Source organism: Homo sapiens, chromosome 17 (genome assembly GCF_000001405.40).
Source record: "Homo sapiens chromosome 17, GRCh38.p14 Primary Assembly".
Classification (NCBI taxonomy): Eukaryota; Metazoa; Chordata; class Mammalia; order Primates; family Hominidae; genus Homo; species Homo sapiens.
Genome location: NC_000017.11, coordinates 1,842,882 through 1,855,343, shown reverse-complemented (window position 1 = coordinate 1,855,343; position 12,462 = coordinate 1,842,882). Strand labels below are relative to the sequence as shown.

At 42.3% G+C, this 12,462-nt stretch overlaps 1 protein-coding gene across 3 annotated transcripts in view; it reads right to left on the bottom strand.

The window, feature by feature from the left end:
* RPA1 (replication protein A1) overlaps positions 1–12,462 on the bottom strand; it is a 70,078-nt gene that overhangs the window by 44,739 nt on the left and 12,877 nt on the right. For all 3 annotated transcript variants that reach the window (NM_001355120.2, NM_002945.5, NM_001355121.2), the window contains exons 3-5: positions 11,346–11,424; positions 10,658–10,766; positions 2,155–2,243 (exon numbers count right to left, since the gene is read on the bottom strand). In NM_001355120.2, the coding sequence (NP_001342049.1) occupies positions 2,155–2,243; positions 10,658–10,766; positions 11,346–11,424 (277 nt within the window). The remainder of the gene's footprint in view (positions 1–2,154; positions 2,244–10,657; positions 10,767–11,345; positions 11,425–12,462) is intronic.

Below are 12,462 nucleotides of genomic sequence, written 5' to 3'. Positions count from 1 at the left end.
CACACACACACAATTTTAGCCGGGTGTGGTGTCATACACCTGTAATCCCAGCTACTCTGAGGCTGAGGCACGAGAATCACTTGAACCCGGGAGGCGGAGGTTGCAGTGAGCCTAGAAGGCACCACTGCACTCCAGCCTGGGTCATGCAATGAGACTGTCTCAAAAAAAAAAATCAATCAATGTAACTCACCATATTAACTAACAAAGAAAACCATATGATCATCAGATCATCAGCAAGCACAGAAAATGCATTTGACAAAACTCACCATCCATTTCTGATGAAAGCCCTCACCAACTAGGAACAGAAATAAACTTCTTTACTTCTGATAAAAAGACTCTAAGAAAACCCTACAGTTAACATGACATTTAATGGTGAAAGTCTGAACGCTTTCTCCCTGAGATCAGGAACAAGACAAAGATAACGAGCCAGGCTGGAGATGTTTTCTAATGTATTAGCCATTTGTTTTCCTTCTATAGTGAACCATCTATTTTTCTCCAATGCCTGCTTTGCTAATGAAGTACTTTATTCCTTAATATGTAAAAAAATTCAATAAATAGTAAAGATAGTAACCCTTTGTCAATCCTATGAGTTGCAAATATTTTATCCTAGTTTACACACTTTTAATTTTTTGCAGTGGGGAATAGCGGACACTTGCTGTGTTCCCAGGCTGGAGGGCAGTGGTGCCATCACAGCTGACTGCAGCCTCAACCTCCCAGGCTCAAGTAATCCCCCCACCTCATCCTCCCAAGTAGCTGAGACTACAGGTGTGAGCCACCACACCTGGCTAAGTTTTTAAAAAATTATTGCAGAGATGGGGTCTTCCTGTGTTACCCAGGCTGGTCTCGTCCTCCTGCACTCAAAGCAGTTCTTCCACCTCAGCCTCCTAAAGTGCAGGGATTACAGGTGTGAGGTACCGTACCTGGTTTCCTATTTTTAATATGTAATTTTAAAATTTCAATGTAATCAAATATTCATTGTGAATTATTCCAATCTATTTGTGCAGCCTCTTCCTCTTGATTTTTGATGGTTTCATTTTCTAACTTGAAAAAAATACATCTCAAATTTATTTTGGTGTCAAATGAGGCTTTTATGTTTTGACTTGGTGTAAGGGCAAACAATCCTTTCCTTTAATGGGGCCAGTGATTTGAAGATTCTTTTCGCCTTTCTCTAGAATTGTCTGAAGTAATGACTTTTTTTTCAGCTTCTTTTAGGATGCAAAGAAAAAATGGACTTTTTTTATTTCAATGTGCTTTTCTATACATTTTCATGAGAAAATTAAATCATTAGTAATTTCACCATCAAGAGATAATCACAGTAAAACAACGTTATATATTCAACTTGTTTCAACAAATACTTACTAAACGCCAGCCTCAAGTTAGGCACTAGAACAAACATGATCTCTACCTTCACACAGTTTACTCATGGCTTAGCAGTAAATAGAGATAATTCTAAAAGCTACCAGTGCAGTGAGTGTTATCACAGGAGTATAGACTGCATGCTTCACACTTTTTAAAAACAAAAGTGTACATAAGTCTTAGGAAAACACGTTTCTCATTAATATTACAGATATCCTGTAGTATCCTATATTACTGTGATATCCTAGATTTTTTTTTAGTCTAGTATAACTGAATCTTTGTCCATTACTTTCTTACTTTTTTTTGAGACAGAGTCTCACTCTGTTGCCCAGGCTGGAGTGCAGTGGCACGATCTCGGCTCACTGAAACCTCTGTCTCCTGGGTTCAAGCGATTTCCCTGCCTCAGCCTTCTGAGTAGCTAGGATTACAGGCGCAGGCCTCTATGCCTAGCTACTTTTTGTATTTTTAGTAGAGACGGAGTTTTGCCATGCTGGCCAGACTGGTCTCGAACTCCTGACGTCAAGTGATCTACCTGCTTTGGCCTCCCAAAGTGCTGGGATTACAGGTGTGAGCCACCGTGCACCCAACCCGTTTGTCCATTGCTTTCTAATTGTGCCCTTTCTTCATACATCATTTCTTTAGAACTGAAAAAGCCTGACAGAATAGCCTGGTTCCTAGACCTCAGAATCACTATCATTTTATTAACACTAACAAGTCAAACTGAATCCAAAAGGTAGAACTCCGAATATATAAAGAGGTATTCATTTGAGTGCTACAACCTACGCCAAAGCATTTTACCTTCATTATAGGGCACTGGATTGCCAATCTTCACTCCAACTGCTTCAGCTGACTTCAAAACTTCTAATTCCATCAAGATAACTACTCTCCTGCAAAAGCAGACAAACAGAAACAGGTTAGAAAAACAAATTCTGTTCAAATGATAAGCTACTCAAAATGCTTTCCCCGATGATCATTGTGATGAACTATTTTCCATTTGTCATCTGTTTACATAAATATTTCTCTTCATCTTTCGCCGCATCATTATCAAGTGATTGCAGGGTTTTCAGTTCCCAACTAGTTCCTTAATTAAAATGCAGTGTTCTCGCTACGCACCGTATCTTCAAGGAGCCAACCGACATGGTAAGAATTTAGATTACTAAACACAAGAATATATGGCATAAAAAGAGATGAACTGTTTTCAGAAACACATACTTATCTCAACAATGACTTTTTCCCAGTGAAAACCAATTATGACAATAGATATTTTAAAAAATGTAATAATGACCCATTTTTAAGAACTTACAGTTCTTTTGCTTTTTAACTCTAATTAAAACGTTGTGATAACTTCCCAATGACCTTAGGCCACAAAGAAAAACCTGGGCCATGGCTTGCCTGGCCTGGCCTTGCTAACCCCCCTCCCGTGCCGCTGCCTGCCCTCTGCCCTCTGCCCTCTGGCCTTCCTGTTTTCTTTCAGTTCCACCACATGGGACAGTCCCTCTTGCCACAAGGCCTTTGTCCGTGATGCTCTGAGATTGCGGTGTTGTGTTCCTTCTCATTTTGCCTCATCTAATACTCATTTTTTAGCTCTCGTCTCAAACATCACTTCAAGAGACACTTCCTTAATCTCTAGTTGAGATCAGGTTGCTTTGTTCTAGTCTTTCCTACAGCCTTGATTTCTTTCCTTCAGAACACTCTGCTCCGTCTTAATTATATGTTCATTAGTGATTATTTTATTATTCTCTCTCGCTCCTACTAGACTGTACTGTCAATAAAGACAGGTATCCCTCAGTGCTTAATGAAGCAAATGGCCCACAGTTGTTGCTCAATACATACTTGATGAGCATATCACAATGTCTGCATTTTAAAAAGAAGGAATTTAATGGGAACATGACTGGAGGCAGGGAGACCAAGAGAAGAGACAAAATGACAGAGGCCTGAATGAGGTTAGTGGCAAGGGAGCTGAAGAAACAGGCCTAGGGCAATATTTAAGCAATAATCTACCCAAATTCATCACGTTTTAGACTTTAAATGGTCTGACTGCTGTTTTTGGATTTTTACATACAATCAATCGTTTGTTTTAAATGGTCTGACTGCTATAATTTGGATTTTTACATACAATCAATCAGTGTGTGCTACCCTTATCAGGTTTCACATCAGAGTTTCAATAAGATAAGCCTGAAATTATCTGTTCCTGAAAATGGTATCTAGATTCCCTGTAATAACTATCTGATACTTAGTGGCAGATATTTAACTACTTTCCAAATTATACAAATCACTCCAGAACATATAAAAATAGAAGGCCTATGAATCATTTAGTATGACTCTAATACTAAAACCTAAGACAAAACACACACACAAAACCAAAACTAATTTCATCCTGCAATATCCCATAAATCCTAAATAAAATATCAGCAAGATGAACCTAGCAGCATATTAAAAGAATACACTAATATCAACTTACAGAGAATACAGATGACAAGGACACATTAAGTGACTTTACAGGGATGCAATCAGCCAAATCCAGACTGGGGGAAACTGCACAAGGTGAAGGATAAATGACCTGGTTTCTTCAGCAAATAAACAGTAAAGGAGAAAAAAGGCAGACGCAGAGCCTACAGATTCAGAGAGACTTAACAGACCATCAATCTACCGTCACAGGAAACTTATTTTGGATTCTGATTCATATAGATTGTGTGGGCACACACACACACACGCACACGCACATACACACGCACATATACAACAAGATGGAAATACAACACGGACGGTATTTTTTTAGGTGTGAAATGGGATAGTGTCTTTTTAAGAGTTTTTATCTTTCAAAAATACATACTAAAATATTTATGGATGAAATAATATGATGTCTGAGATTTACCTCAAAATTACAGAGGATAGTGGACGTTGAAAGGATGGAGCTAGAGCAAAACTGGACAACAGATGACAATTTGGAGCTGAATGATGGGCTATATGGGGATTCATCAGACTACTGTGTATTCTGTCTATGTTTGTAGATGTTTAAAGTTTTCCAGAAAAAAGATTTTTAAAAATAAAAAGAGAAAATTAGCAAGCTAAGATAATTCTTATTTTTTTTTTTGAGAGAGAGAGTCTCACTCTGTCACCCAGGCTGGAGCGCAGTGGCACAATCTCAGCTCACTGCAACCTCCGCCTCCCAGGTTCAAGCAATTTTCCTGCCTCGGCCTCTTGAGTAGCTGGGATTACAGGCACCCGCCACCACACCTAATTTTTGTATTTTTAGTAGAGACAGGGTTTCACCATGTTGGCCAGGCTGGTCTCGAACTCCCCATCTCAGGTGATCCACCTGCCTCAGCCTCCCAAAGTGCTGGGATTACAAGCATGAGCCACCAGCACAGCCTAGGATTTTTTTTTAAGGCAGGATTTATTGCAAGAATGAAACAAGAGTTGAATTATTAGGCAATCCTTTTTTTTTTTTGAGACGGAGTCTTGCTCTGTCACCCAGGCTAGAGTACAGTGGGGCAATCTCAACTCACTGCAACCTCCGCCTCCTGGTTTCAAGTGATTCTCTTGCCTCAGCCTCCCGAGTAGCTGGGACTATTAGGTGTGTGCCTCCATGCCTGGCTAATTTTTGTATTTTCAGTAGAGATGGTGTTTCACCATGTTGGCCAGCCAGGCTGGTCTTGAACTCCCCACCTCAGGTGATCCACCTGCATTGGCCTCCCAAGGTGCTGGGATTACAGGCGTGAGCCACCAGCCTAGCCCTAGGATTATTTTTTTAAGGCAGGATTTATCGCAAGAATGAAACAAGAGTTGAATATTAGGTAATCTTTTTTTTTTTTTGAGATGGAGTCTTGCCCTGTCGCCCAGGCTAGAGTGCAGTGGGGCGATCTCAACTCACTGCAACCTCCATCTCCCGGGTTCAAGTGATTCTCCTGCCTCAGTCCCCCGAGTAGCTGGGACTATAGGCATGTGCCACCACGCCTGGCTAATTTTTGTATTTTCAGTAGAGACAGGGTTTCACCATGTTGGCCAGGCTGGTCTCGAACTCCTGACCTCAAGTGATCCACCCACCTCGGCCTCCTAAAGTGTTGAGATTACAGGCATGAGCCACCACGTCCAGCCTAGATAATCTATTAAAATAGTTCATTAAATATGATCATATCAAGATGTAGTAAAAGCTTTGAAAGAATTTACGAGCCATTTCTGATGAAATCCTGAGGACTTAAAAAATAAAACCTGCACCTGGTAAACTGCGCGTTTTTCCACGATCAACACTGCATTGAACAGTGAAACCAAAAGCATTTCCATGAAAATCAGGCAACTGCTGACATTACCATCGTCCAACAAAGTTTTGACAGCGCTGTCAATACAGTAAAATTAAAAAAAAAAAAAACAAAATGACAAATATGAGAATAAGGAATGCCGGGTGCGGTGGCTCACGCCTGTAATCCCAGCACTTTGGGAGGCCGAGGTGGGCAGATCATGAGGTCAGGAGATCGAGATCATCCTGGCTAACACAGTGAAACCCCGTCTATACTAAAAATACAAAAAATTAGCCGGGCGTGGCGGTGGGCACCTGTAGTCCCAGCTACTGGGGAGGCTGAGGCAGGAGAATGGCGTGAACCCGGGAGGCGGAGCTTGCAGTGAGCCGAGATCGCACCACTGCACTCCAGCCTGAGAGACAGAGCGAGACTCCGTCTCAAAAAAAAAAAAAAAAAAAAAGAACAGCCAACAAAAATTTGGAGGGAAAAAGTAAAGAAAGACCTTGTCTATAAACTACTAAATAGTCTACAGAGAAGTTTAACTGAAACTCTATGGAGTGTAATTTGAAGTACTGGCAAGAACGGGGAGAAACTCCACACTCACGCGCTGTTGGCAGGGAGGTAAACTGGTGTACACACTTTGAACAATAGCCTCAAAAAGTTAACCATAAAATGACCATTTAGCCTAGCAATTCCTTTCCTAGACAGATTATCTATAAAAGAAATGGAAACGTCTGTCCACAAAAAACTTGTACACAAATGTTCATAGAATTATTAGTAATAGCAAGCAGGCAGAAATAATCCGAATGCCCATCAACTAACGAATAGATACACAAAATGTGATGTATCTAGACAACAGAGTATTATTCTGCCATAAAAAGGAACAGGCTGGGTGCGGTGGCTCACACCTGTAATCCTAGGACTTTGGGAGGCCGAGGTGGGTGGATCACAAGGTCAGGAGTTTAAGGCCAGCCTGGCCAAGATGGTGAAACCCCGTCTCTACTAAAAATACAAAAAAATTAGCCAGGCATGGTGGTGCACATCTGTAATCCCAGCTACCCAGGAGGCTGAGGCAGAGAATTGCTTGAACTCGGGAGGCAGAGGTTGTAGTGAGCCGAGATGGCACCATTGCACTCCAGCCTGGGCAAGAAAAACTTGTCACCCAGGATGGAGTACAATGGCGCAATCTTGACTCACTGCAACTTCTGCCTCCCGGGTTGAAGCAATTCTCCTGCCTCAGCCTCCCGAGTAGCTGGGATTACAGGCATGTGCCACCATGCCCGGCTGATTTTTGTATTTTTAGTAGAGACGGGTTTCACCATGTTGACCAGGCTGGTCTCAAACTCCTGACCTCAGGTGATCTGCCTGCCTCAGCCTCCCAAAGTGCTGGGATTACAGGCATGAGCCACCGTGCCTGGCTGATAATTATTCTTTAAAATATGACTAATACACAGTATGTTGACAAGCTTAATGGCAAACACTTCTTTTTAAATAACATGTTTATTGAGATATCATTCACGTACCATAATGAACTCACCCTTCCAGAGTGGATAATCCTATGGGTTTTGCATTTTGCAGTTATGCAAGCATCACCACTACCTCACTTTAGAACACTGTTGTCATCAGCAAAAGAAACCATGTGTACAATGACAGTCACTCCACACTCTACCACCCCTGAGAACCAGTCATTGAATTTGTTTCTATGGATTTGTCTATTCAGAGATACGCTTTTTTTTTTTGGAGATGGGGTCTTGCTCTGTAACCGAGGCTGGAGTCTCGGCTCACTGCAACCTCCGCCTCTTGGGTTCAAGCGATTCTCCTGCCTCAGCCTCCTGAGTAGCTGAGATTACAGGCCGCACCCGCCACCACGCCCAGCTAATTTGTGTATTTTTAGTAGAGATGGGGTTTCACCATGTTGGCCAGGCTGGTTTCGATCTCCTGTCCTTGTGATCTGCCCCGCCTCAGCCTCTCAAAGTGCTGGGATTACAGGCCTGAGCCACTGTGCCTGGCCAATAGATACTCTTATATAACATTTATGAGTATAATTAGTATACTTTCCACAGATGTCCGTTGACCCCACAATACAAATTCTAATGATCTGTTATTCAGAAATAAAAGCATAAACACGTTAAGATAAAGTACAAGGATGACTGCTCAAGTCCTGTTTAGAATAAACCTGAATGATCACCAAAAAAGCAAGGAGTAAATAAACCCAGCCGCACACACAGGCTCTCAGCAGAGGTACAAAAGAATATGAGGCAAGCCTGCAAGCTGAGGCAGTGCCATCAGGCAAAGCCCAGGGGAGTGGAGCTGTCTCCGTGACTGGAGAGAGTGGGCTGTGAAGTTTCCCAGCAAGGACTGCACTCAATCCCAGCAACACTTCCACCCTCTCCCACAACCATGCCCTGGAGGACAGAAAAGTGGCTGCAAAACACCACTTAAGCGCTCCAAGATAGCCTGGAGTGGAAGATAAAAGGTCCCAAGTGAGAAGGTTGGCAACATGTACCTAGCCTAGACTATGTCAGAGCAAATACCAAGTCTGGACAGGACTGTCCACATTAAGCATGAACAAAATAAAAAGGGATGATGACAAAGCAACAATACAATACACAACAATGCATAAAAGGGAAAGCAACAGGGAGGCAAAGCCGATTAAAGAACCCACTCTGGAAGAAAGTACAAGCCAAGAAAAGGAGTGACACTTCCCAAAAGCGATTGGCAAAATAAGTACGACTATATGAATCCAACAAATTAACAGTCAAAAGATGAGCTAAAACAAGAGACTAAGAAGAAAAGGGAGCTTGAACAGCTAAGAAAAAAACAGAACAAAATCAATACTATTATACATCTAATAATTTATAAAGATTGAGGAGTAGAAGAGAGAAAACTAAAAACTGTACTATTACGTTGGAAAACCTCGAAGCAAGCCAATGCATCCATCAGAAAAAAGGTTAAAGTAAAGACCTATGCGGAGATCAAAGTTATCTACAACGTATGTAAAAAACTGGAACTCAATAAGTGAAATAGAAAACAACATTAAGGAATAACACACAGAAAAACTTCGTTGAAAAGAACTGAATCGGCAGACTGAACAAGCATACCACATACCAGAAGAAAAAAGAATATGGACGGCCGGCCACGGTGGCTCACGCCTGTAATCCCAGCACTTTGGGAGGCTGAGGCAGGTGGATCACGAGGTCAGGAGATCGAGACCATCCTGGCTAACATGGTGAAACCCCGTCTCTACTAAAAATACAAAACAAAATTAGCCAGGCGTGGTGGTGGGCGCCTGTAGTCCCAGCTACTCGGGAGGCTGAGGTGGGAGAATCACCTGAGCCCGGGAGGTCAAGGCTACAGTGAGCCCTGATGGTGCCACTGCACTCCCGCCTGGGCAACCAGAGTGAGGCCTCAGGAGAAAAAAAAAAAAAAAAAAAAAAAGCAAAGCTTCCTACAAGGGAAGAAATCAAACCAGGCTGGCCTTAAGACTTCTCCAGATCAACATTCAATGCCAGAAGACAAAATTCTGAGGGTAAAGCCACATAACCTAACAATAGACAGCCAGGCAAGTGGTCATTCTAGCATAAAGACCAACAGGCTGATAATGGGGAAGACGGCACTAAAGAGCCAGTCCAGAAAAAAGTTATTGAGTGAAATCCAACCAACACAGAGATAAAGAGGTAGGAAAAAAGAACAGCTGGAGAAAATGTAAGAGTCCTAAAATCAGTATAACAGAATTTAAAAAACTAATTACTTAAACCTCTTAGTATTGTTATCATTTTTTATCTCGGTTTTTGTTGTTGTTGTTTTGGTCTTTTTTGAGACAGGGTCTTACTCTCCTGCCCAGCCTGGAGTGCAGTGGCGTGATCTCAGCTCACTGCAACCTTCACCTCTCAGGGCTCAGGCCACTCTCTCTCCTCAGCCTTCCGAGTAGCTGGGACCACAGGCACATGTCATAACGCCCAGCTAACTTTTCCTTTTTTTCGTAGAGACAAGGTCTCACCATATTGTCCAGGCTGGTTGCAAACTCCTGGGCTCAAGTGATCCTCCCTACCTGGTCTCCCAAAGTGTTGGCATGACAGGTGTGAGCCACTGCACCTTGCCTGAAATCAGTCATGTTTTAGCAATGAGAGTAACAGTTCTGTTCATCACTGTATCTCTAGCATGCAGTAACTTGTCCGTGTACAACACATTCTTTTTTTAAATTTATTTTTTTAGAGATGGCCTCTTGCTGTGCTGCCCAGGCTGAAGTGCGGCGGTGCAATCACAGCTCACTGCAGTCTCAAACTCCTGGGGTTAGGGAATCCTCCCACTTCAGCCTCCCATGTAGCTAGGACTGTAGCGTGTGCCGCCACACCTCACTAATTTAACTTTTTTTTTTTTGTAGAGACAGGGCCTGGCTATGTCACCCAGGCTGGTCTCAAACTCCTGGCCTCAAGCAATCCTCCCACCTTAGCACCACAAAGCGCTGGGATTACAGGCATGAGCCACCACATGTGGTTCAATGTATTCTATATTGGCTAAATATAGCATTTAATATAAAAGATTCAAGATTGTACACACACACACACACACACACACACACACACAAAGCAGCATTACAAAATAATTATCATTTTCTGCTGTAAAATAAAGTACCTCTTTTCATTAAAAGATACTTTTGAGGCCGGGCATGATGGCTCGCACCTGTAATCCCAGCACTTTGGGAGGCTGAGGTGGGCAGATTGCCTGATCTCAGGAGTTCGAGACCAGCCTGGGCAACATGGCAAAACCCCGTTTCTACCAAAAACAAACAAAAGAGATAAGATTCTTTTGGGGGAAATCCTAAAAATGCTGCTTCTGAAGAAATTAGAAATAACAAGATTTCTGCATTCTACTTTAATCTTCTGCTCTGAAATTTCCAACTTGTTTCCATGTTTCTCCTCCTTGGGTGCCATGTGTTAGCTACCTGAGTTCTTAACTGAAAAGCTGCAGATTCTTAGCTGAAAACTCACTATTGCCTTTTTTATTCCTAAATTTGTTCCCATTCTACGATACAATAAGACAGAAAAAAACACAGCACATACCTTCCGTCTTTCAGAGTGTTCACAATAAATCTGTGAATCTGGCATACACAGTTGCTGGACAATTGTTCTTCCTCCACGAGAGGGTTCAACTGTGTCGCCAACATGAAAGCTGAAAACCACAGAGATTTCTTTAGCCTCCAAAATCCTGCAGTCTTAAGCCTCTGAGAGCTACTCATACCTGTGCTAGCAAAGAAAAATGCCTTACATATGCTCCTGAAATTAAAACTAGTCAGACTCTGCAGAGTGAAAAACTGTGTATTTTGCTGCCTGTTAAACATTTGCTGCTACTCTTAAATGTGTGAATTTGTTAAAGTGGCCAAAATCATTTAAAAATTCTCTCCTTTCTCCCCTTTACAGCTTCCAACACAGAAATAAAACCCCAGAAAAGGAAAGTATAGGGCAGCTGACCCCTCGCACTCAGTCGATGTCAATATCATCCTTAGGGAAATTAATCAGAGAAAACACAGAACACCAGTTAGGGAAAATTAATTAAGCCAAGTGGCAGCTTTCCACTACCTCCAGTCTATTGTTAGAATGCTCTCTGACAGCTGCAATTCTGTCTGAATGAAGTACGTAGCCAAGCAAGTACGGACTTCACGAATGCCCCCAAATTATGGCAACCAAAGGACCAGGTGTGCTTCTACTATTTAAATACTCACACATTTCTAGATGGATACACCATACTCACAGGATAGAGTGTTCAATCCATCACTCATGAGCAGTCGATAACGCGGCGGACTATTCCCCGTAGTAATGGGACGGATGTTCTAGGACAGAAAACTTGATTCATTAGCCAGGTTGTCTGCCCCGTCCCCAGGGATACGTAAACCGAAGTGGCAGGAGAGTGGGTTTGCCATTAGTTCAACACAAACTGTTTGCCCATTCTCTTGACACTTAAATCCAAGTAAAAGAAAACTGGATTTGATGATTTTCCCACTAACCTCCCTCCACTAACATTATTAAACACAACAGAGAGGGAAGTAAAACGAGCTGCCTATACTCTTGTGTTCTCACCCCTGACTCAAATATGGTTAAAAATCAATTACCAAAATAATAATAATAATAATAATAATAATAATAATAATAATGAAGCACCCAATATACACAAGGTGCTGTGTAGGAAACATGCTAAAAATACAAAATGAATAAAAAGAATCCTTGTCCTGAAGGAGCTAACAACTGGGGTGGAGATGGAGGCAGAGAGACGTAAGTGATGTGTCCGTGATCAGGCGGCAGAGCCGGGACCTTTATCCCCACCTGAGAGAGAGCAGAGGCAGGTTTCCAAAGCAAGTGACACCTGTACCCAGAGCCCCAAGCTGACCCACGGCGCGTGTGGTGCAGCAGAGAGACCCATCAGACCGGCCGACTGAAAACCTGCAGGGGTGAGCCCACCATTCTGCTTCTATTTTTCAAAACTCCCACTGAAGTTTGAGAACCCCTTAAATAAATGATGTGTTAACTGAAGAATGTAAAAGAGACAAGTTCATACTAGATATATTTCTGGAGGTCATATGAAAGGCCAATGTGAACAAGACAAACCCAAGGGCAGGAAAGGCAAGTAGCTCCACAGTCATCTATCAACAGTGGGGAGGAAGAGAGAGGCAAAGCCTTCAGTCTGAATCTCCAAAGACAGTAGAACTTAGCAGCTCACGTAGTAACATTTTCAAAAAGCCTGGCTGCTCTCTCAGGGTTACAATGTAGACTGGCCTATTTTTTGTGACTGGGGGTGAATTTCCGAAAGTGGACAAATCTGTCTGTCCTTCATCAAACGTAACTTGTAATTCGATGACTCCAAAGAAGTTGAC